This window comes from Homo sapiens, chromosome 11, assembly GCF_000001405.40.
Source record: "Homo sapiens chromosome 11, GRCh38.p14 Primary Assembly".
NCBI classification, from domain to species: domain Eukaryota; kingdom Metazoa; phylum Chordata; class Mammalia; order Primates; family Hominidae; genus Homo; species Homo sapiens.
Window position 1 is genome coordinate 87,359,265 of NC_000011.10, and position 25,431 is coordinate 87,384,695.

Sequence of the window (25,431 nt, forward strand, 5' to 3'; positions counted from 1 at the left end):
AATATCGCTGCTAGAGCACCAGGCATCATCTTTGCATTCCAGACAGAAAGCAGGAAAAAAAGGTGGAAGGTTTTTTAAAAAAGAAAAGTGCTTATGCCTACAGCTGTCTACCTTCTTTTTAAGTCCTACCTGATAACTTCTATGTACACATTGTAAGGGAAATGGCTGCACTTTAGTCAGGAATAGGCTGAGGCAGCCTTCTGGCACAGCATGATTCACTGGGTTTGGAGCACAGGTGCACTCTCAAAACACTCTCATAAAAAACACCTGGGGCTTCCTGCGAGCTGGCCTGGGCTTTCGTTACTGCCTCCCCTGCTCATGATGGGTATTTACATATCCTTAGACCCTCAGCTAGAACAAGCTGCACCTGAGATCAGTCTCCAGTGGCGTTTTGGTCCGGGAAAGGCCCTGACCTGTGGCCACACATTATGTAACCATGCCACGTGAAGTGCATTAGGTGATCACTCACATGAGTCTGTGCCTGGCTTAGAGACACTGTTGTCTACAAAAGGTATAATTACCCTGCTAGCGGCTATACATAGGGCTTGTGCCCAGAAAGAGGATAAAGCCATATCAAAACTCCCTACGATTCCTGTAGTGTTTTTCCAGCTACTCCCCCACCGACTCCCCTCGGACCTCAGTTTGGGATAGAACCTGACAATTGGTGTCATGAACAGGATCCTGAGGTGAGTGAGCCTTTGGCTTCTGCTGATTCTGGGTTGGCCATGTGGCTGTAACATGGGTTGGTGGTACCCATTGGCAGCTGTGCTGCTTGGATGGGCTCCGGTGGATACCTGGGTGGTGGTAGATGGGTCTCCTGCAAGCATGGAGAAGGTGCTGGAGCAACTGGAAGCACACAGCACTGAGAAGGAGGGAGCCTTTGCCGGCAGAGTCAGATGGGGCTCTTTGACTGTGCTACAAAAAAGTACACACCCAGTCCCTGAGGTGCAGTACAGGTAAGGGACCTCCAGGCGCAGACGGGGTGCCTGGAGACCTGGCTATACAGATCAGAAAAAGAGTTAGAGGCTGCCATAAATGGGGACTTCCAGGTGCAGGTGGGGCACCTGGAGACCTGGCTTCAGAGCTTGGAAAAAGAATTAGGGGCTGCCATGAATGCAGGCCTGGGCCCGTCGTTTCAGCCGGAGACTCCCCACTCAGTCTGATACCGAGGAGGAAGAACCCCTGTTGCAGGGTCGCCCAGTGGTCCGTCAGAAGGTAGATCATGAACAGCTGTTGGGACCCCAAGGGCGGGCTCAGGGATTGCCCACTATAACACAACACACTTCATATATTGCCTGTACCGCAACTGAGTTGCGGGAATTAGGCAAGCAGGTCCACCAGCGTCCAGGAGAACCCCTGTCTGCCTGGATGCTTCATTTGTGAAATGAGGGAGCAGATAGTATTTCTTGTTCTGCCTCTGAGATGGAAAAGCTGGCCACCATTAGACTCACCCCTCCCTCTGTCAGCGGTTCCAAGTGAGGAGGCAGTTAACGGCAGGGCAAGGTGACCACACCCTGACTGAGTGGCTATGGGCAGCCATGCGGACTGTGTGAAATGATGCCAGTGAAATACCCAAAACTGTGAGTAAACGGCAGTCATATGCTGATTTGGTGCAAGTCATCTGGGAAATGGGTATGCGGCAGGCTATGTCTGATCTGAATATCTGTGGGTATCACTGATGAACGTTTCACCTACCACATGAGAGATCTTGTGTTGGGACCTGTGCCCCTCAGTGCCTTTGGCTCCCTAGCTGCTGTCTTCACCTAGTACGTAGGGTGCCGCGCACATGAAGTGACCACTGCTATGGTGGCTCTCAGGGAAGCAGAAGGCCATCGGCGGGACTGAGGGGTCCATGCTGTAAAGAAGAGGAAGCTCCCCCACCTGCAGGGGGTTCCCCCATGGGATAAAAGGGGGCCCCAATGAGTGACACGCTCACATATGTGCATAGATTTGATTTTGGCCAGGGTTGACTGAGAGAAAATCAATAAGCAGCCCAGTGAAGTACTCTTAACTTTGTGGAGACAGTTGTCTCTGGAGCAGCAATTCCAGAAAATGTCCAAGGGGGAGAAGGACACTGCTGCACAACGCTGTCCCACCTGGGCGGCTCCAGCTTGAAGACTGCTTGCTGCAGCCAGGTGGAAATGCAGAGCCTTTTCTGTTTGATTAGGGAACTGGCCAAGGTGCCCTGCTTAGGAAGACACTGGGCGACTGGAGGCCACATGTAGAATTAGCAATCCACTGGTCCCCCAGCAATGTACAGCGGGTGCTGGTGCTGGTAGCTACTGGCACAGACTGTAGTCTTGTTTATGGGAACCCACAGGCAAAGCTGCACACATTGATGCTTACGGAGGCCGATCAGTGAGAGTGAAACCTGTATGTCTGTACCACACCACTGGCCACTTGGCTCCCCATTTATATACTGTATATGTTTCTCCCATACCAGAATACATTCTGGGGGTGTACTTTTACATGGCCTGGTGTTACAAACCATGGCTGGGGAATTCAGACTCCAGGTGCACGTGATGAAGCCAGTGCTGCATGGACATATGCATCACCAGCCTCGGGTCCTGCCACAACCCCGACAGGTTACTTCCACCTGTCAATACCATTTGCTGGGTGGGCATACAGAGATAACTGAGACAATTAAAAAGCTGGAGGAGGTGCAGATAGTGTGTGGCACCCATAGTCCCTACAATTCTCCAGTGTGGTCAGTTAGGAAGCCTGATGGAACTTCGCAGATAATGGTGGACTACTGGGAACTGAATAAAGTAACACCCCCTTTGCATGCAGCTGTGCTGTCAATCATGAATATAATGGACCATTTGTTGATGGAACTGGCACAATACCATTATGTAGTGGACTTGGCCAATGCATTTTTCTCCATCAACATCGCTCCAGAGAGCTGGGACCAGTTTGCCTTCATGTGGGAAAGGCGACAATGGACTTTCACAGTGTTGTCGCAGGGCTATGTCCATAGCCCAACCTATGTCATGGTCTCGTTGCCATGGATTTAGTCTCCTGGCAATGTGCAGAAGGGGTCTGCTTATTCCATTATATTGATGATATTATGTTAACCTCTGATTCTCTTGCAGATTTAGAAGCAGTGGCGTCCCTCTTGCGGCAACATTTAGCAGCATGTGGTTGGGCCGTCAACGAATCCAAGGTCCAAGGTCCTGGATTATCTGCCAGATTCTTGGGAGTTATCTGGTCAGGTAAGACAAAGGCCATACCAGAAGCCATCATTGACAAAATTCAGGCATGTCCCCGGCCCACCACAGTGAGATAGCTGCAAACTTTTGTGAGCCTCCTGTGATATTGACAGACATTTGTGCCCCATTTAGCTCAAATGATAAAACTATTGTGTCTGTTAACAAAGATGGGAGCTATCCGGGATTGGGCTGATGTGGCTGAGACCGCCTTCCTGGCAGCCAAGCGGTCTATTCAGCAGGCACAAGCCCTACAGGTCATGGACCGGGGTGCCCATTTGAGCTGAATGTGCATGTGACCACAGATGGTTTCTGTTGGGGCCTGCAGCAGCGCACGGAGCACCTAAGAATGCCAATAGACTTTTGGTCCCAACCATGGAAGGCATCTGAGCTCCAGTATTCCTTGATAGAGAAACAGCTAGCAGAATGTTTCCTGCCTTTCAGGCTTGTGAGAGTGTGACAGGATGGGCTACAGTCATCTTGCGGAAGACTTACCTGATAGTGGGATGGGTACGTTCATGGGTAACATCGTTGGCCATTGGTTATCAACTCAGTCGTCAGCCCTTCTGCTCTCCCCGGACGCTTGGAGGTGGGGATGAAAGTTCCAATCCTCTAATCACGAGGTTGCTTCCCTGGCAACCAGACCCATCCTGAGGCCATCCAGGAGCCCACGAAGAATCACCTCATTAGAACAAAAGATGCTCCTATCACCCGGGAGATTCCAAGGGATTTAGGAAATCTGTGTCAGGAACTGTGGTCAAAGACCAAATATTAGAACAAAAGATTCTTCTAGCACCCCTGTCTAGAAAGGTCTTAGGAGCTCTATGTCAGGAAGCAGGGGCAGATGTATATATTTCTTATTTTATCACAATATCACGACCTGCCATTACATTTGGATGTCCTTCCTGTCTAGTGACCTGAATACTTAAAGCCCAAGCCATCTTTGCACCTCCCAGCATACTCAGTATGCAGTGGTGGGGCAGGAGCAGAATGACCACTATAAACACTGTTGAAAAAGGAGAGAAGAGGAGACATGGCACAGTCACTGGTCTGAAACAACGATCAGTCCTCTTGGATAGGGTTTCTGAAGACTCCTTGATATCATTAGAGGAGTAAGTTTCTTTGTCAGCCCCCAGTTCTGCTTTCTCTAAGTATCTCCCTTATTCATTGTTTCTTGGGTTCCCAGGGCCACTGTTGGTCCATTCCTCATTTTTATATACATTAGAAAAGGGCAACCGTCTGGGTGGTCGTTGCCCTGCTGGTGCATGGCTTTGGCAAGCAGACAGTGTCTTTGTGCTTATAAGGAAACAACAGCCCTTCTCCCAGGTGCATGCAGCGCTTCAGCAGAGGGCTTGGAGAGAGGATTACAGGCCGTGTTTCAGCCTGAGCTTGCTGTTCCACTAGGTGTTCTTGTGCAGTGCTCAGCATGAACATCTGTAGGTGGCCGTGGGGCCCCTGGCTCTCCTTTCAGTGGAGTCCTTCTTTGTTCATAATCCTCTGGGGACATATTTAAAGTCTGTTCAGAGGAAAAGATTTCCTTTCTGCACTGAACAGCTTTAGCAGCCCCCATCCTATAGATATGGATTTAGGGACCCTGGGATCATATTAGGAACTTAATAGTCATGGGCTGTTGCAGAACCCATAAATGAATGACATGGCCCAAGAAAAGTGTATGGTAAGAAGACAGCCTCTGATCCCTGAGAAACATTAGCATTTAAGAGGTTGATAAGAAATGAGGTATCACTAAAGAACACTGAGAAGGTAGGAACAAGAAGTCAGGAGAGAGGAAGGAGACAGTGATAGCACTGAAACCAAGAGAAGACATATTCAGTGGGGGACTTGTCAACGTGGTAAGAGAGGGTAAAAAGTCAAGTAAGACGGAAGCAGAAATGGCCATAGAATTTGGCCTTTGACTTTCAATTACACTTTGACTCCTCTTACAGCAGTTATCCTACTCTACCTTATAGCCTTGACATGAGAAATGAGGGAAAGGGGTGTTTTCCCAATTTTCCTATAACATGGTAATTCCTTTCACTTTTCTGTGGCATTTGGCCCTGCTGAGCAATCTCTTCTTTGATGCAGTCCTCCTTCTGCCTCTTTGATGGCTCTTTCTCAGTCTTATTGCCTGGGTTCCCCTTCCTGTTCTCCTTATAGGCTTGGCTATGTACCCCACAAAGAGCAGGCCTACTGCTTTTTCATCGATGTACCCACCATTGACCGTGACATTCACTCCTGAGATTTCGATTCCCATCATGGTACCTCCAAATTTACTGATGCCTCCTGACAGTCTCTTGAGCTGCAGGAATATTTTTGGATACACCCATTGTGGTAGCACAAATGTATCTAAAATTCACTGTATTGAGACAAAGAACCCTTTGAATTTAAACAAGAAAATGAAATTATTGGTTTATGTAATCGGAAATTCCAAGATGTATAAACTCTAAATTGCAGGCATGCCTGGATCTAAGGCTTCAAGCTGTGTCCTTCAGGTGGTCTTTCTGTCTCTGTTTCTTTCTAGGTGTCTCTGTGTCTCCTTCACTTTGGCTTTGGTTGCAAACAGGCCTTCTCCACATAGTGGCAAATAGCCCTAGCAGCCTCTGCTCATATGCTGTCAATTTAGTAACCGCAGCTGAATGAAGGTTTAGAAAAAATAGATTTGGAAGAAAAGTCTCTGGGAAGATTATTGTTGGTCCACCAAGGGTAATATTCCTGCTACTGACCCACTTCCTTTGGTTGGGGTACAATGGCTGGTATTTCTGAGTTATGGATGGCATCCCCTGTGAAGCACTGAGTGGAAGGGAAAGTTTAGGACCCCTGAGCCATGTGCTCTGGGTTCTTACCACTTCCCTTTAGCCAAACAGAATCATTTGTTTTTTTCTCTGTTTCCTTAAAAGTTATTTCACATTACTATTCCTACGCATATGTTATTTTTCTATGCTTTAGTCCTGATCCTTTTCCTAGCCAATTCCTACTCATTCTTTATATTCTCATTGAGTCACCTCCTTTGGGAAGACTTCCTTCATGCCTTAATTAACTGGGCCATGGGTCCTTTTTTGTAAAATTTGAATAAGTAACATCTACACTATATAGTTGTTATCAGGATTAAATGAGAGAAGGCAAATGTAAACAGCTGGTAGAATGTCACACAGAAGCTCAACACATGTGTGACCTCTTTGCTTCTCCTTTAGATAGGTGGCTGCCCTCCTTGGTGCAGTCTTGGGTTCCAGCTCTTGCCTTGTTTTATTGTAATTACTAGGATTATATTCTTTTACTTTCAACAATGTCCTGATTGGGATGATAAATTATATTGTTAGTCTGTTAATGAGCTATCTAAACTGCTGCCAACCATGCAAACTGACTTCCGATAAAATGACAACTGGGAGCCATAATCCCAAGTTAGATGACTCAAGGTAGGGAGCAAAAGCAACTGGAAGCCACAGACTCAAGGTGGATGCATCTGTACGCAGTAGAGACCACCGCAGCCATCTTGGCACTTATGCACCTGAGGGGTAACTCCAAATGTCACCAGCCCATCGGCAGTGTGCGGAAGCTTTGCTTTCCTAAATGGGACAGAGAATGTTGTAGTTTAAAAGACAAATTATTAGAACCAATTGGCTTTAAAAGACCAATTCCATTTTCTTTTCCCCAAACCTCCTCTTTCAGAACCTCAGCTGTCTGCTGGATGTTTCCTTCCTGGAAGTAAAATTGCCTCCATTCCACACTCAACCTTTAGTCACTTGGCTTTTATTGATAGTTATATTTTTATAACAGCACTTAGGTTAAAATACTATTTGACTCTAAAAGAAGCGTCCTTCTATGATTACAATATTAGCATTTGTTGTTGCCTTAGAATAGCTGAGTTCCTCAAGGATGGGGACCATGGCTTGCTGCCATCATGTCTCTATTGCCAACCACCAGTGCTTGGCACATACTATATATTTAACACAAGTGGATTGAAAGAATGGGTAATGCATATGAATGAGATGGCCCAACCTGCCCTTGTCTTTGAGTGAATTTCCCAGACTGGATGGGCTTTGTGTGATCCTTCCATGGCCTCTGTGGTTGCTGGTGCTGGATTCATCTGGAAGGGATCACAGGAAATAGGTGTCCTGTACTGGAGTTGTCTCAATGACTTGGTAAGGATTTCCTTTAGGCTTATTGCAGGATGCTGACTACCACTGCCAGGAAACCAAACTGTTAATTTTCCCAAATGAGATCCTCCTGGGGAGAATCAATATTTATTAGCATTAGTTTTTTTTAAAAAAAAGCCAGTACATGATTTTCTTAGCTCTTCTAATGGTAAAGAGGCAGAAGCCTTTGAGAAAGAAATTTGAATGAGTGAGGAAAGAATTGAAGGGAAGCAGGAAGGAGAATTATTCCTTCACACACAAGTAACCCACTCATCTGGTTGGTTCATCTAGCTCAGAATGGACCACATGATTCAGACTTTGCCAGCACTCCTTGTAGAATACCTTGTAGAATATTCCTTGTAGAATACCAAGGTCCACTCATTCTTGCATTTCATTATGTGTAGTCCATATTAGTCAGTCAGGGTTTGGTTAGAACAGAAGCTGCTGTAGGTATTTCAAGTAGGAAGAGGCTTAATACAGGGAATTCGAGATTTCTGTGGCCACTGGAAGATGGAGATTTCTGCTTTCAGAAAATCAAAAAAGGCAGAGGTCTCGGGAAGCTGCTCCACTAATCTCAGCAGCTGCCTCTCCAAAGTGAGTAATTCTCAGGAGGCTACCCAGAGGTGATAAGGGATATAATTGGTGATTCAACATTTTTCACCACCAAAAAGGATGATTCTCAGGGTGATATTCCAAACATCTGCCTTCCACCAGTGCCCACATGCCTGCAAACAGCTGCCCCTGGGAAATAATGACTTCATTTTGGTCTTCCAAAACTCTTTCAAGTGCCTCTCCTTGACAGAACTGACCCAGAACTATACTGGAAAGAGATTCTTGGAAAAGAAGTTCCAGATGATTGCCCTAAGTAGACGGAGTGAGGATGCTGCTGAGTTGATCAGAGACAATCCTGCACATGGACCTATCTTCATTCATTCAACGGGTAGTTAAGGGAGACTTACTATACACCAGACTCTGCACTTGTGCCAATCTTATTTCTCTAAGACTTTTGAGTACAGTTGTGTATCTTCTAATTTTTTTCTATATTCCATAGTGCGTGGCACAATTCTGGGCACACAGCAGATAGATGCACACTGATTGCCCATTGGCTTAGCTGACCTCAAACATAGCTAGTCTGCCATTTTCAATGGAAGAGTGTAAAATGAGAAATATAATTTACATATCTCTTTCTATACATAGTAATTTATGTATATATGCTGAGTAGAGCTTAGTATTACACAGGTATAATAAGCTAATTAAAGACAATTTGAAAAAGCTAGTTAAAATTTTAAAATCACTTTTAATTTATCATTATTTACCAAAACAGCCTTTTACCAACATTTTTGGTTTGCCTTTACTGTTTTTTATTCTATTTTTGTCTTTTAGACAGTATTAATATATTTTTAATGGTTTTATGTCTTTTTCTCTTGATTATTATTTAATAGGTATTTTAATGTTATTATATTTGAAAAATTTTGATAGCTGAGGAACAATTGAATGGATTTATTATTGTTTATTTAATCATTCTGCTAGTATTGGATACTTAGATTGCTTCCAATATAAAGTGTTGTCTAAGCCTTTGTTTTTCCTTTGAAAATTGGTTGGTAGTTTGGGTCTTGAGTGAGTCTGGGCTTGCATTTCATCCTTTCTCCCCCTCCCAGCCCTTGATATGAACAAAAGGTCTAGAGGGTATTGTTGACTCAGGGCTGTTAGTGCACAGTACAACTCCCAGTTTGTTGGCCTGGCTGGATATCTTTGCCCCAGGGACCCTTGCTTTAGTGCAGAGGAAGGGATCCAGGCCTGGGTGGTAAAGAGGAAATCTGACTTCCAGTCCTGGCTTTGTCACTTAGGGGGTGTGTAATACTGAGCACGAGTCCTTACCTCTCTGATTGTAAGTTTTTCCTCATTTGAGAGAATGACCAGTTAGTTTATGGACCCCTCCAGCTCTGCCATTCTTTGGATTGATCTCATTCCTAACCTTCCTGGGCATGAAGAATTATCTTGTTACTCTTCGTCCAATTGTGATTTGCAAGCTGACTTTTCATTTTGGGGTTGTTGTATGGCTCAGCTCAGGTGGAGATCACCTTCCACACCTCTCTGCATTTGCCTACACTGCTTTCTCCACTTACATTGTCTTTCTTCCCAACTCAGAGATAATGTTTGTGTGATGCCAAGCTCTGAATGCCCATTTTGCCTTTTCTTCTCCTGCTATTAATTTCAGTTACTGCTCAAATGTTCCCTGTTGAAAAAGTCTCCACTATGTCTGGGCTGCTGCAGCTCAGTGTACTGCCCCTAAGGCCCTTACCACGCCACATCGTGCTGTCTCCCCTTGCCCTTGCGAATTCCTTGAGGTTCACATCATGTCTCCCTCATCTACAGCAAGGTGCCTGGCACATAGTGGGTGTTCCATGACTGTGTTGAATCAGCAAACAAAGTGCCCTGTCCAGAGCAAGCTTGCATTTCCCTGACAAGTCTGGAGCTGTCAGAGTAAGTGCAAGCCACCCTTCCTCAGTCGAAAAACAGGAAAGTGATTTGTGGAGGTTTCCTTTCTTTCCTTGTCAGAGCAGGATGCACATTTTTAGTGCAGAGCTCTGAATGGCAAGGTTTTACCTTATCAGTGATATCCATTTCCAGCATCCCTTTAAATGCTAATTAGTCTCTCCCCAGGGAGATCTGGCAGAATGATTCAGCTTCACTCTGAATGATCGTCTCCTCTTTGTGCAGACAGATGCATGTATGGAGTGAGGGTGTTACCTGCCTGCCTCTAAGTCCTCTTATCTGCACTCATATTTGTCTCATTTCACTTCCCTCCACTCACTGCCTTGGCATCTCCCCCTCTGGCTTTGAGAAAAGGCTGCTCATATGCACCTCCCTATGGGGAAGTAGAAACAGAAATAAAAGTGAATCACATTAACTCATTTAATCTCCATGACCACCTTTTCCAATAGGTTTTATTATCGCCATTTGAACATTTCAGGAAACCGAGACCCAGGGAATTTTATTAACTTTATTTACAAAGTCACAAAGACTAAGTGGTAGAGGTGAGATTCAAACCTGAGCCTGGGTCCAAATTCCCTGGCAGTCTATGGTATCGCCCAGCTAAAAAAATCAGCAACTATCCATTACTGAGAACTTCTCAGGGCCGGGTTTTCTACTAAATAATGCTTTATGCACTCTAACTCATTTACTTTAAATTAATCCTCAGAAAATCTGATAAGGCAGGTATATTAGTCCCAGTCTGCAGTAAGGTGAAGAAACTGGTGCAGAAGAGGGTAGCAGCTGTGCAAGGTCACAGGGCTCATACATGGCTTCACCTTAGTATCCGACTCGAACTCCTGTCTCCACCCATTCCTCTTCCTCCTCTGCCTACTGTCTCTTCACTGGTTCAAAGGCAAGAGCTGTGTTCAAGTCACCAGGCAGTATCTGCCCTGCCAGGAGTGATTGGAGACAGCCTGCAGCTGGTTACGCAAGCCCTAATGGGGATTCTGTGGATACTGGGTCTCACACTGAAAACCTGTCTACAGGTCACATAGCTCTGGCCTGATGGGCAGCATGCAGCTCCTCCCCCAGTAGTTCCTGAAGCTCTAGTTAACTAGATTCTAATTGAATTGAATTTTTCTTCCCACAGGTGGAAGAGTTAATTATTAGTTTTTCAAAAGATGCCAACAACTGAACAGCATTTTCCTTCGATGTCCTGGTGCTTGGGAGCACATGTAGATTATTCTCCTAGATTACAGCAATGCCTCCTAACTGGCCTCCCAGAAACCTCTCGCTTCTCTCCAGCCTATTCACTACACAATAGCCAAAATTATCATTAAAAAATACAAGGTTAGACCACGGACAGTGGCTCACGCCTGTAATCCCAACACTTTGGGAGGCGGAGGCAAGTGGATCATTTGAGGTCAGGAGTTCAAGACCAGCCTGGCCAACATGGTGAAACCCCGTCTCTACTAAAAGTACAAAAATTAGCCAGGTGTAGTGGCAAGCGCCTGTAGTCCCAGCTACTCGGGAGGCTGAGGCAGGAGAATTGCTTTAACCCGGGAGGCGGAGGTTGCAGTGAGCTGAGATCGTGACATTGTACTCCAGCCTGGGTGACAGAGCAAGACTCTGTCTCAAAAAAAAACAAAACAAAACAAAACAAAACCAAAGTTAATGATGTCGATCATTCCCTGGAAGCCCTTTCATGGTTTCCCATTGCTTTTAGGATAATGGCCCAAATCCTTAACTTCACCACTGCATGGGAGCGACTGTCTGCCCTCACTCTGCTTTAGCCACACTGATCTTTTGACTCCCCGATTTGCTCTTTTCCACCTTAGGAATACCACCTTTTGCTCATGGTATTCTTTTATTCTAAAGCATTCTCTGTGTCACTCCAGGCTAATGCCTCCTCATCTTTTAAATCCTGATTTAAATGTCTCTTCCTCAAAGAACTATCCCTGATTCCTGCAGAGCGAAACCAATTTCTCTTGTACTCCTTGTACTTTTCTTCACAATATTTACCATAATTTCTACTACATTTATTAATGTAAACAGTGTTTTAGTGTTGCTTCTTAATTGAAATATAAGCTCCCTCATGCGGCAGGGTCCTGCTTGTCCTGGGCTCCCAGCACCCAGCATGGTGCCATCGGCATAGCAGGCTTTGACTAATGTTTGTTCACTAAAAGGTATATGTTAAGGACGGAGCTACTCAGACCTCGGAAGCAATTTCCTGCCAACACCTCAATTGTTTCCAAGCCTGATTTTTCAGAAGCTCTTCTTGAAAATGTTTTCCCATCCAAATAAAGTTGTCCTTACATGCTAAACATCAAGGGGATATGGGAAACACATAACTGGAAAGAATTTCTGCCCGTAATTAAATTATAGCCAAATGAAATGACATGTTGATCTGTCTCACTGCTCGCATATCTGGGACTGCATGTTGCATACCAATTTCTGGTCTAAATCCATTAAAATCCTATGGAGAAAACTCTTTCTCTCTTTAGAACAGAAGTAAGATAATGCTTGGAGAATCATGGGAGACAGTTAGGCTCTAGGAGGGTGGAAATCTGTAGGTCCCATATCTCTGCTTTCGCTGAGCCATGACGGAAAGAAAGGCAGATGAATGAGATCTGGGTTTCAAAACCTTAATCAACTTGGACTATGGAACTCCAACTCACAATCCACTGTGATTCTTCTTAGCCCTTGGGAGAGGCAAATGACGAGAAAATAATAGAATTTCAGGGGTTTAGTCTAAACAATCAGTATCGCAGAGCTGTCCCATTGTTAATACAGCTTCAGTGCAGTTTTCCCCTCCAGCTATGTTATCAGGCAGGGAGAACTGATGTTGATAATGAGGACCTGGTGGCCTTATATCATCCTCACACACCTGAGATGGCTTGATCAGATACAGAATGCTCCACTTAGGCAGGAAAGTAAAATCTTTATCAAGATTCATAAAAATTTTACCTTTTTTTTTTTCCTGGCTAATTGCTACCTCAATTGCTATACCAGTATTTTTGGAAAGAATGATACATAAAGGAGAACCAGACACAGTGTCTGTCCTTGAGGCCTGTGTCCAGTAAATAGAGTGGGGCGTGTTCTAGACCAGGCATGATTATGGGCTTGGAGGTGCTGTTATAAACTGTACCCCAACTGCTACTATATAACTGTGTCTCTTTTGTGCTAAGTCAGCTTTATTGATTCATATCCTGAAAGGAGAAGTCAATTTAATCTATAGGAAATGGTCCAGTATGTAGGTGAGAGCTCTCCGAAGATACTCTCACTACATGTAATTCATGGAAGAGGCAGGGTTCTCAGAGGCTTTTAGCAGGAAGGATCGAGAACTCCTGTTTCTCTCAAGGCCTCTCTGGGTTCTACTTTAAGGCAGTAAGATGTCTGACTCACCTGTGGACAATTATCAGGTCTCAGGCATTCTTAATATGATATTTTCTTTAAAACTCTCAGCCCCAAATGGAAAGAGTTATTATCTCCATTTTTACAGAAGGGTAAACTGAGACTGATAGATTAAGAATTTTATAACTAGTGAGGAATGGTCCAGGGGTCCAGAGCAAGGTCTGCTTTAGCACGTAGTCTTCACTCTTAGCCTGTTAATCAGTTGGGTGAAAAGTTGACTGTTACTTAGTTAAAGGTCTCTTTCTTCTGTGTTTTCTAGAAGTCTTTACTGAAGCCCACAATGAATGCCTCTTTTTTCCCAGCTTTACAGAAAGAATTCAGGAAAAGGAGAAAGCCTCTCTTACACCAATCCCGCCAGTCTATGTTGGTGGCAGAGATGGTAAGTGAGACATCCCAAGGGAATAGGGAACCTTGGAAGATTAGGGGTTGTGACTGCTTCACCTCTCTTGAAACTCTTCTTCCATTGTCCATCTTTGATACTTTAGGGAGATGCCAAGTTTCCCCTAAAGAGGCTTTGAAAATGTTCTCTACGTAACTGAGTTCTCCCACTTTTCCATCATTGTATGTGGCCATGAAAGTCATCACTACCCTTATTTCTCCATTTCTGTCAGTTTTCCCTTTCATGTGTGATTCTTAGACTGCCTGTATCACAATCACCTGAGGTGCTTAAGGAAAATGTGTATTTCAGGCCCGGGGTCTGCATTTCACCAGTTCTTCACTTGATGATTATGCTCGATGTTTGAGAGCCTTTTTGCTAAACTACATTTTCTAAAATATCTCTAGCAGACCCAGAGGTTATAGGATGCTAATAAGCATTACGTAAAAAAGGGAACATGAAAGAGGGCTCTATGGCAGGTGGTCTGTAAAGAGCTCAAAATCAAGTTGTGGCCTGTTTCTGTATAGTCCTTAAGCCAAGAATGGTTTGGTTATTTTTAAAGTGTTGTACTAAAAGAAAAATATGCAATATCAGATTATATCTGATGATTTCTCACTAGCCACACATACCAGAGACCGTATGTAGCCAGAAAACCTAAAATATTTACTCTCTGACCCTTTACAGGAAAAGTTTGCTGACCTTCTCTCTGTGGTCAAATGAATTTCAGAAAGTGTTGAAAAAAATTGAACACTTCTGGGGTGCTGTTGCGTGATCTAAATGCTGGTTATGTTCAGTTTGTGAAAGTTAATTCAGTATAAAGTTTAAACAGTAAGGAAGTTTCCTGACTGCAGGAAGACTTGGTGCCTTTAATACACCAATGTGCACCGGAGGGTATATGCATTTCTCAATCTTGTTTGAACACAGAATTCCCCCTCTTTTTGTTTTGATTTTTTTTAATAGAGCATATTGTGGAATTAGTGCTCCGTGGATTATGTTCTGAGCAATACTTTTCTAAAGAAGTTAATTCCAATTCAGAATTGACAGTCAGTTTCCCTTGAATCATTCATCATAATATTTTCCCTCATCTTGGTTAGGAACACCATTCCTTCTCCTCTTATACTCCGTGGATTCAAATCATTCTTCCAAACTTTCTGTTCAAGCCCTCTCTCTTCCAAAATCCGCTTACCATCTCCTACATCAATTACAAGGACAGAAAACTTTGAACCATATGGAATAATTTACTGACTAATTGTAGGGACAACAATGAACTTAATTTAACCTTATTTTCATGACATGGTGTAGAGGGAAAATCATTTAATAGAAATATGAGAAAAGTTGTGTTTCTGGCTCAGGTCAACCACTAACGAAGTGGGAGGCCTGAGTAATTCACTTTTCTACCCTGGCCTTTGATAAGTTTATTGGCCTAGATATTCATTTCAAGTTTCCTTGCAGATCCAATATTCTGTAATGTTCTGGGATTGTAGAATTCCAGAAAAGGGAGTAAGATGAGGCAAGTCCATTTAAGTTGATATTTGATTTATATCTGATGATTTCTCACTAGCCACACATCCAGTTGGTATTGCTAAATTGTGGTTATGATACAGACTTTAAAAGCATTCTAATTGATAGTTAATTCTATTTGTTGAACAAAACTCATATTTTTACGCAGCAACAGATTAAAAATCAAAGATTTTCTTAATCTTGTTAAGTGGATTTTCTTCTTCATGAGTCAGTCTGGCAAGCCTTTGATCATGGACTTGGACAAAGTGTTGGTATTTTTATGCCTTCTAGAAAGCCCCAGCTGTCTGAGACACTCTGCCCCCGATGTCTCATAAATCTGATTTGATCACTCTTAATTTGTTTCCCAGATAAAACTATTAACTGTGGGAGTGAAAATAGTTGCTTTTTACTCTACAGAAAGGTCATGAACTTCAATTTTGTGGGCTTCTATTTTTTTTAATGGATACCATTGACATGAAATTTCAGCCATGTTCTTCACTGTGCTTCTAATCCTACCATCATCTCTAGATGAATTTCCACTGAATTTCCAATAGAGGCTGCTCCAGGCAGTTCTGTCTTCTCTTTGAGCATCAGTCCATTCAGCCCTCTTAGCCCAGCAAGGGGCCATACTTTTCCTCTTTGCTGTCTCAAAGCTCCTAAAGTATCCAATGACTTCTCCCATCCTCACTCATTATTTCATTAACATTTCACAAATGTTTAGTCTGCCAGGTACTGTGAACCAGGCACAGTTCTTTCCCTTAAGGCACTCTTACTCTGCTGGGGATTGTGAACCCTGAATATCTGAGATAGGTCTCAGTCAATTTAGAAAGTTTATTTTGCCAAGGTTGAGGACACGGACCCATGACAGCCTTAGGAGGTCCTGACATTTGCCCAAGGTGGTCAGGGCACAGCTTGGTTTCAAACATTTTAGGGAGACATGAGACGTCAGTCAATATATGTTAGATGTACATTGGTTCTGTCCAGAAAGGCGGGACAACTTGAAGCAGGCAAGGTGCTTCCAGGTTACAGGTAGGTGAGCGACAAATGGTTGCATTCTTTTGAGTTTCTGATTAGTCTTTCCAAAAGAGGCAATCAGATATGTATCTATCTCAGTGAGCACAGGGATGACTTTGAATAGAATGGGAGGCAGATTTACCCTAAGCTGTTCCCAGTTTGACTTTTCCCTTTAACTTAGTGATTTTGGGGCCCCAAAATCTGTTTTTCTTTCACAGGAGTCAGAAGGGATAAAAACACCAGTAAGCATATAATGTACAAGTCTGTGAGTACCAGAGAGGAAGCATTTACTTTGCTTAAATAGGAGAATGAAGGAAATTTCCCAGTAAAAAAGATCAATGAGTTGTGTCTGAAAAGGGTAAGTCAGAGTTTACTAGAGACAACTGGGGGACTGACACTCCAGGTGGAGGGAAAAATGTGTGCAAAACCTTGAAAGCATGAGAAAGTGTGGCATAATCAGAGAGAGTAGGAGGGGGTTAGAAGGAGAATATGTTGGGGTAGTGTTGGGAGATGAGCTGGAAAATCGGGTAGGGATGCCATCATCTGGGAGGAGGAAGGGCCTTCCCTCCCCTGGGCTCCTGGCCCCACTCTGTTCAGTCTCAACAGTATCCTTTCTGAGTTCCCCTTTTCTTCTCTTCAAACCCACAGATAGGGTTAAATCTTATCTTTAACACACATACACACACACACACACACACACACACACACCCCACTTTCACTCCACTCTGATTTAAGATTGCACCTATGGTTCTCAGTATCTAGTTTACAAAGTTCTCAAAAGAACAGTATCTCTCACTTTTTTTACTTTGTCACCTCCTATTCTTTCCATGTTATTGTAATCTGGTTTGAGAAAAAATGAGGAGTGTATTTAGGTGTATTAACTGCTGTGGTCTGAAAGTTTTTGTTCCCCCTAAATTAATAGGTTGAAACCTAATTCCTAATGTGAGGGTGTCAGGAGGTGGAGTCTTCGGGAGGTGATAAGTCATGAAGGTGAAGTCCTCATAAATGGGATTCATGCCGTTATAAAAGGGACCTCAGAGAGCTCCCTTTCCTTTTCCATCATGTGAGGTAAAATGAGAAGATGATCATCTATGAACCAGGAAATAAGCCTTCACCAGACACTGAATCTGGCAGTATCTTAATCTTGAACTTCCCAGCCTCTAGAACTGTGAGAAATAATTTCTGTTGTTTATAAATCACTCAGTCTATGGTATTCTCTTGTAACAGCCCAAATAGACCAAGAGTCCATCCAACTTTTAAACTTTTCTCTAAAACCTATGAATCAACTCTTTTTGGGTCTGTCCCACTGTGAATTTTTCTCTTCATCCTTATTTATTTTCAGCCTATGTAGATTTGATTCCTCCCTGAATATATTTTAATTTACTTAAAATGAGTCTGCCATCTATTTCTGAACAATTATATAAGGCCAATGGGTACTTTAATTCCAAGGCCATGGTGGGTGGTTACCAAAGGCCATGGAAATGCCCATTTGACACAAAGACTGAAGCAGAAATGAATTTTCCCTTATCCCCACTCCAAGAGGAAATGTGCAATACTGGGAAAGCAGAAGAAGAGAATGAGATTGAGAGAGAGAAAGGAGATTCACACTGTTAGGGAAAAATGCTATCATGGCTGTGTGTTATCTTTGCAGAGCCTGTGCTATTGTTCCAGCTAGTTACAAACATTTGATAGGTGTTACTATGTGTAGCCATTGCAATACTGAGTTGCAAACACATTTTCTGAATTCATGGGCTCACAGTCTGGCAAGACAAGCCGCAATGTTAGAAACAGAAATTTAGCAATTTTCTAGGCACCAAGATGAAGGAGTACACAGATCACCAAGTGAAAAGTGTATGTGAGGTAGGTTTGGATGGATAAGGTGTCTTGAACTGTGTCTTGAAGAACAAATAGAAGCCCAGGCAGCTGAGGGAGGGAGGATATCCAGGATGAGGAAACAGGATGTCTAAATGCACAGAAGAAATAAGAGAAGGTGGTGCATCCAGGAAACTGTAGTTAGTTTTATTGCTTGTTGTGGCAGAAGCTTAGGGTAGAGAAGTAGCCAGAGGCTGTATAATGAAGAGCTTTAGGGTCCATGCATAATAGATTGGATTTTTATCTTTTAGTAAGAAGAGCCACTGAGGGGTGTTAATTTGGGAAGTAATATTGATGCAGGATTTTTCTCAGCCCCTTTGCTGGACTCCCAGTAGGGGTGCCCTGTCTACTTGGCTCAGCCCCTTGAAGGAGGGAGCAGATGAGCAAGGGAGTGTGGAATTGGGCTGGCCGCTCTGGGTGCTGACATAGGAACAAGCTCCATGCAGGGCACGTGGCCAGACCAGGTGTATCACTTGAGAGGAACACAGTGGCGCCCAGGCAAGGGTGCCCATGACCCTGAAACCCCAGAGGGGGTGTTAGTGTGCTAATTAGCTCTTTTAGTTCTGCTGTCCACAGTCTTATGGACGGCGGTGTGTTAACAGCTCAGTTGGCCCCTGGTCCCATTGTGTAGGGTGGCTGCCCACCGCTGGCGAGGGCAAAGGGCCAGTGTGACAACCTTTCTGGTTACCCTCAGTTGGTGGATCCTGAGCTTTTGTCCGGTGTCCAAGAAGAATGAGGTCACACTGACAATTGAAGGATGGTGAGGGCAGATAATTTTACTGAGCAATGAAAACAGCTCTTAATGGAGAGGAGAGCTGGAGAGGGAATGGGACTAGCAGGTTGTCTTCCCCAAACTCAGGTCGTCTCTCTCTGTCTACCCACTGAGTCTGGGGCCTTTATAGGCACAGAATAGTGGCAGGGCGGGCCACAGGTAGTATTGGAAAAGGCAACATTCAGTTGGTTGAAAGGCATTATTCAAAAAGAACCAATTGGGAAAGAGTGGGCAAACAGGAAAGAAGTTCTCACTCTGATCTGAGGTTTTACTTGGGACTGTCTTTGGCTTGAAGGTTGGGTTACGCTGGTGACCCATCCCTGACTGCCTAGGATTTCTCTGTCTCCTGCCTCTACTAATATGATTAGAAATGTGTTTGTAACTGATCATTTTGAGTCATGTTTTCCCTACTTTACCTTTGGTATTTCTATCTAACCTTTATACAGATGCTTCTTGACTTACAAATGGGGCTACATCCCAATAAACTCATCATCAATTCAAAATATTTTAAGTCAAAAATGTATTTAATATACCTACCTAACCTACTTCCTCTGGTTAATAAGAAAAAAAAATCTAACCTTCCAAGCATCACAGCTCAGCCTAGCCTACCTTAAATGCGCTCAGAAAACTTACATTAGCCTACAGTTGGGCAAAATTATCTAACATAAGGCCTATTTTATAAAAAAGTATTGAATTTTTCATGCAATTTATTGAATACTGTATTGAAAGTGAAAAATAGCGTGGCTTGCTGCTGCTATCCAGCAGTGTGAGAGAGTCTTGTACTGCATATCACTAGCATGGGAAAAGATCAAAATTGTAAGTTTGAAGTATGCTTTCTACTGAATTCATATCACTTTTGCATCATTGTAAAGTTGAAAAATCATTAAGAATCTGTACTCAGATTGTTGTTCTTTGTTGAAATATGATATATTTATTCACTCCTGTCCTATCCCCGACGCCACCCAAACTTGCCATTCTGCTTAGTTCTTTTGTTCAGTGACTAGTTGTGTCATCTCTCTCTCTCTAGATCAGAAATCTCCATTTCTCATTCCCACATTGAATTTCGTGATTCTAATTCTTTCATAGTTCTCAAATTCATTTACATATTGTCTCCCTGGCAGATTTCCTGATTTTAAGTTTTCCTCATTTCTTTTCTGGTTAATGCAACACCCACTGAACTGTTCTCTTGGCCTTGGGTATCCTTTATACCTCTGCCAGTGTGAGCCTTATGAAGTGGAATCTGATCATTTCATGTCCCTGGTTAAAATCATCACTCTTCAGAAAGTAGATTACTGCAGCCCCTGCTGAGTGGGTAGACAGAGATCACTGTCCAGACTGTGGGGGAGAATCAAACCCCACCTTCCAGGACACTGGAAATGAACTTGAGAACCATGAGCCAGCCTCCATGGGTAACTGAACTGAGCACTAAGACAATAATAGGATCTGGCAGCTCCATTTAGCCTCTTTACATGTGGAACAACAAAATTGCTTTGCAGAGAGAAGAGGGGGTAAGAGACCATGTGGCTACAGAGAGTGAGGGACTCAGTAATGGATGAGTCTGTGGCCTCGTTTGGGTGATGTGTGTTTAGTTGCTGGAACCAGGCTTTCTGGGTACCTGTCTACACTCCCTGACTTTGAGTTTGTTTTGATATCTCTCTTCAAAAAAATCACCTTTTACTTAAAGTTGCTCAAGTAAGTTCTGTTTCTTACATACAAAGACTCTTAATGGGAGACCAGTGGAACTAACTTTGTGTTCAGGGCCCCTGTCCCTAAAATCTGTGATTTCCCTATGCCCAGTAGCTTGCACAAGATAATGCTGATTCCAGTGGTACCTTGAATTGAAGCAGATTCTGGCACACTTCTCGTTGCATACTATTGCCTCTCCAGGATTGTGGCCAAGAACTGAACCTCACAATTTGGGGCAGGCTTTTAATGCGCCTGTAGCTCATGTTCATCATAAATGGTTGGCTGTTACTGCTATGCAGAACTGGTGATGATGTCAGGTGTTTTGGATATCTCTATGGAAGTCACAATTTCACAGAACCTTGGACATTCATTTGTTTATTTAAGATTAATCTAATGCTACTATTTGAAAGAACTGTGTTTGGCATAGGAGATACAAAGAAAATAAAATACAATCTCTGACCTCAAAGGACTCTTGGGATTTTAGGGAATAAGTACAAGTAAAAAATAGAAAAAATAGAGAGAGATTATATTATCAGTAATGAAACTGAAGCCTAGAATAAGGGATGTGATTTAATCAAAGATTTAATTGTAATCTGTCTGTTCTTTCCATGCTGTATATATATCCTATTTGGGCACTAAACCATTCTAAATTCTTTGGCAAAATTGGAATAGACAATGGTGGAGAATTAGAGGTTTGGGTTATTCTCTTTTAAGAGAATATGGAATCCAGCATTTTTGGAAACTGAACAAGCGTTAAGATTGCCAGCCATTAGGCCTGCTTTGGGGAATAACCGTTGCAGTTCTACAAGGTCACCCTACTTAGTGAAAATGAAAAAAATGGATGCAAAATACCCCCTAAATTGCCTAATTAGTTGATTTCCAGTAATAGTAAAATGCAGCTAGGTCAACAGCAACATGGTATCAGTCTTGGGGAGACCACATAAGGCTACTGTTATCCTGGATTCATTGCTTTTTGTGAAATTTGGACAAAGTATATTGCAAAATGGAAGTAAAGTGTCAGCAGAGAGGTAGTAAGAGATACTGAGAGAATGATTTGAAAGTTCTGACAATAGCTAGGCTGGATAGTGAGATGACAAGGGTAGGGTGGACAGACAGGAAGGAGGCACTTTGAAAGGGCATCATCTTTGCTATGGGAACTCATGGAGAAACTGGTGGCAGGGCTACCCATGCCTTAGGACTTGGAAGGGCTGTCCTGAGGAGTTTAACCTAGGTGGAGAAATTAAATGACCCCTGAGAGGAGACAAGGTCAAAATGGAGAGAGCAACTGGGTATGTTGGACTTGAAGAAGGCAATAGCAGGTATGCATGGTGTAGAAAAAGAGGCAATAATGTTAGTAATGTCAAGAGCTACTTGGGATTATTCAGGGCTGAGTTTGGAAGTATAGTACGCATTGGGTAGATGGGACTTAAAGAAGTCTTCATGTGCTGGACACCAGGCAGGGAAACACTAAATAATCATTTGGAACCAAAGATGCAGTGCTTAAGATTTTATTTCTGAATATATGCTAAATGTATAGGAATTCCATTTTGTCTGTGTTATTTGCATAGAATCAATACAGGATTTTTTGAATTAATTGCACAGGATATTTTGAGGTGAGCTGAAATCCTGAAACATAATATTTTAGCCATCATAGCTGGACTTTCTGTTATCTTTTCTAGCCACCAGACTCCCTGTTCTCCATAGGCAATTTCATTTAATCTTGACAACAATTCTATATTGATTGGATCCTTTCAAAATATGAGCAACAGGGATATATTCAGTTTGCTGGTAAATCGGAGTTGAAATTAAATTAAACATTTAATGTAAAAAATTCACAGGCCATAGAGAGACTAATAGAATAAAACTCCTGAACCTTTAATAATTTCTACATTAATTCCCTACTGCTGTTGTTTTATCTACACCCTTTCTTACGTCTCCTATCATACAATAGGATTATTTTGAAGCAAATCCCAGATATCTTGTCTTATCAAGAATTTAAAAGATAAACCTAAACATTTATTTAATAACATGAAATATCCACTCAGGGCTCAAATTTCTCTCTCTTTCTCTCTCTGCCCCCAACCCCTTCACACACACACACACACACACACACACACACACACACACGCACACACACACACAGTTTGATTGGATCAGCATCTAAAGAAGGTTTATATATTGCATTTAGATGATATATCTATTCAATATCTTTTAATTTATAGGTTCTACTTCTTTGTATTATTTCCTTGAGATATATTTGTTGATGAAACAGTCATTTCTCCTATGAAATTTTTCTTACTCTGAGTTTTGCTGATTGCTCCCCATGGTATCATGAAATGTTCCTCTGTCTCTCCATTTCCATGTATTTCTATGAAATTAGTACTTAGCACTAAATCTTGATGTGATTCAGATTCATAATTTTTTATAAATAAAATCACCTCATAGGTGGTGGTATATATGTCCATAAAAAAAAATAGTGTCTGTTCTCTCCTTTGATATCAATGTATTAGCTTCCTTGGACTACTAAAACAGAATACCAAAGACTGAGTGGCTTAAACAACAGAAATTTATTTTCTCACAGTTCTAGAGGTTCAGAGTCTTAGACCGAGGTGCCAATAAAGTTTGTTTCTGGTAAGACCTCTTTCGGGCTTCTAGATGACTACTTTCTCATTGTTCCCTCATATGGCCTTTTCTCTGTGTGTGCGTGAAGACGGAGCTCTGGTGGTGTCGCTTCCTCTTCTCATAAGGACACTCATCCTATTGGATTAGGGTTCCATGCTTGTGACCTTATTTAATCTTAATTGCCTCCTTAAGGTAATTAAGGCCTTTGATGGTTTGAATGTCCCTTCCAAAATTCATGTTGAGATTTAACTACCGTTGTAATGGTATTAAGAGATGGAACTTTAAGAAGTGATTAGATCATGAGGAATTTGCCCTCATGAATGGATTAATTCTGTTTTCATGGGAATTTGCCCCCCTTTATCTTTTTCTGTCTTGTGCTCATGCCTCTAGCATGTGATGCTTTCCACCATGTTATGACACAGCAAGAAAGTCCTCACCAGATGTGGCTAGTTAATCTTGGACTTCTCAGCCTTCAGAACTGTGAGCCAAAAACATCTCTTGTCTTTATAAATTACTTAGTCTATAGCATCCTGTTATAGCAGCAGAAAATGGATTGAGAGAGACCCTATCTCCAAATACAGTCACATTGGGATCCAGGGCTTCAATACATAAAATATGGGGGGATGAAATTTTGTCCATAGCAATTAATAAGCCTATATCCCTATAAGGAGTTTGCAAAAAGGTAACATTCTCTCATTCCTTCTTTATTTGTAATCTGAAATACCTCTATAGAAAAAAAATTCTTCAACACCTACTTGATTGGTTTAAGGCCCCGTTCATATAAAAAAAAGACAGGTGTTTTTTTTTCCCCCAAGATGGCAGATTAGAAGCTTTTAGCATGCCTTAGCTACTTGGAAATAGCACGATAGTTCATAAAGGTCTACTCCGTGAGCTTTAATTCAAGAAGGAAAATGGGAATCCAGTGGAATTATGAAGAACATCACTGATTCCAGGGAGGAGAATGCCAGCAAACAGCTCTGGTGATGGTGTCTGGCTGATAATGGTGATTGAAGCCTAAGTATATGAGAGAGGCAGACAGCCTTCCCCTGTGACTGACCTTTCCACTGGGAATCCAAGTGTATTCTGTTCTCATACTGCTATAACAAACTCCCGTGACTGGGTAATTTATGAAGAAAAGAGGTGTAATTGACTCACAGTTCCAAAGGCTATACAGGAAGCATGGCTGGGAGGTCTCAGGAAACTTACAATCATGGCAGAAGGCAAAGAGGAAGCAAACATGTCTTATACCATGGTAGAGCAGGAGAGAGAGAGTGAAGGGGAAAGTGCTACATAGTTATTATTATTATTATTATTACTTGAGACAGAGTCTTGCTCTATTACCCAGGCTGCAGTGCAGTGGTGCAGTCTTGGCTCACTGCAACATCTGCCTTCCAGGTTCAAGCAATTCTCCTGCCTCAGCCACCCTGGTAGCTGGGACTACAGGCATGTGCCACCATGCTTGGCTAATATTTTTGTACATATAGTAGAGACAGGGTTTCACCCTGTTGGCCAGGCTGGTCTTGAACTCCTGACCTCAAGTGATCTGCCTGCCTCAGCTTCCCAAAGTGCTAGGATTACAGGCATGAGCCACCACACCCAGCCCTACTACATACTTTTAAATAACCAGATCTCATGAGAACTCACTGTCATAAGAACAAAAGAAGGGAAATCCACCTCCATGATCCAGTCACCTCCTATCAGGTTCCCTCCTCAACACGGGGAATTAAAATTCGATATGAGATTTGGGTGGGGAGGATGCAGAGCAAAACCATTTGGTGGTGATACCAAATTGCTCAGTGATACTGAGCAATTCCGGCTGAGATACAGCACTATGTTTCTCCCAAGCCCTGTAACTAACAGGGAGAGGCTTGAATATGCTGTGATGGAAAGATAGGGAAAAGCTGCAGACACAGTCCCAGAGCCAGGACTGAGATAAGGATGCCGTTTTTAACCTGGGCACATAAAAAGTCAGCCATTCTTTGGCTACCCAGCAGCATGGCCACACAAACAATATATTCTCAGGCCAGAGATTGGAGCACCCACTCTGAAGTGGAATAGGAGCTCCCACAGCCAGAACTGAGGAAGGCATTTCAGCATTAGGCATTAGAATTATGCTGTCCCTCATTGCAAGCGTAGAGGTGGCAGAGAAATACTACAGCAGCAGTTTCTCCTGAGAGGTGAGACTTGCAGCTAGGGACAGCTTGGAAACTTGGAACCGGTCTGTGTGTGCCATTGCTGGGCACCCTCAGCCTGCTCCCCTGAGATTGTGGTGCAGTAGAGCCCTCTGTGCTCCACCCCCAGGCAGAAATCCAGGCATTTGTAGCACCCACTTCCCTAGGCCAGCAGTGTAAGCTGCCTCAATCT

General features: G+C 43.0%; 1 long non-coding RNA gene across 4 annotated transcripts in view; it reads left to right on the forward strand.

Annotated features, from left to right (window-relative positions):
* The first annotated feature begins 488 nt into the window (after positions 1 to 488).
* Positions 489 to 25,431, forward strand: part of LOC107984361 (uncharacterized) — a 552,293-nt gene continuing 527,350 nt past the window's right edge. For 2 of the 4 annotated variants that reach the window (XR_002957261.2, XR_001748316.2), the window contains exons 1-2: positions 489 to 686; positions 3,093 to 3,212. This is a non-coding gene — a long non-coding RNA (uncharacterized LOC107984361). Of the gene's footprint in view, positions 687 to 3,092; positions 3,213 to 8,138; positions 8,664 to 13,527; positions 13,605 to 25,431 lie in introns of those variants that run through there. The other 2 variants (XR_002957260.2, XR_001748317.2) reach the window with 2 other exon arrangements.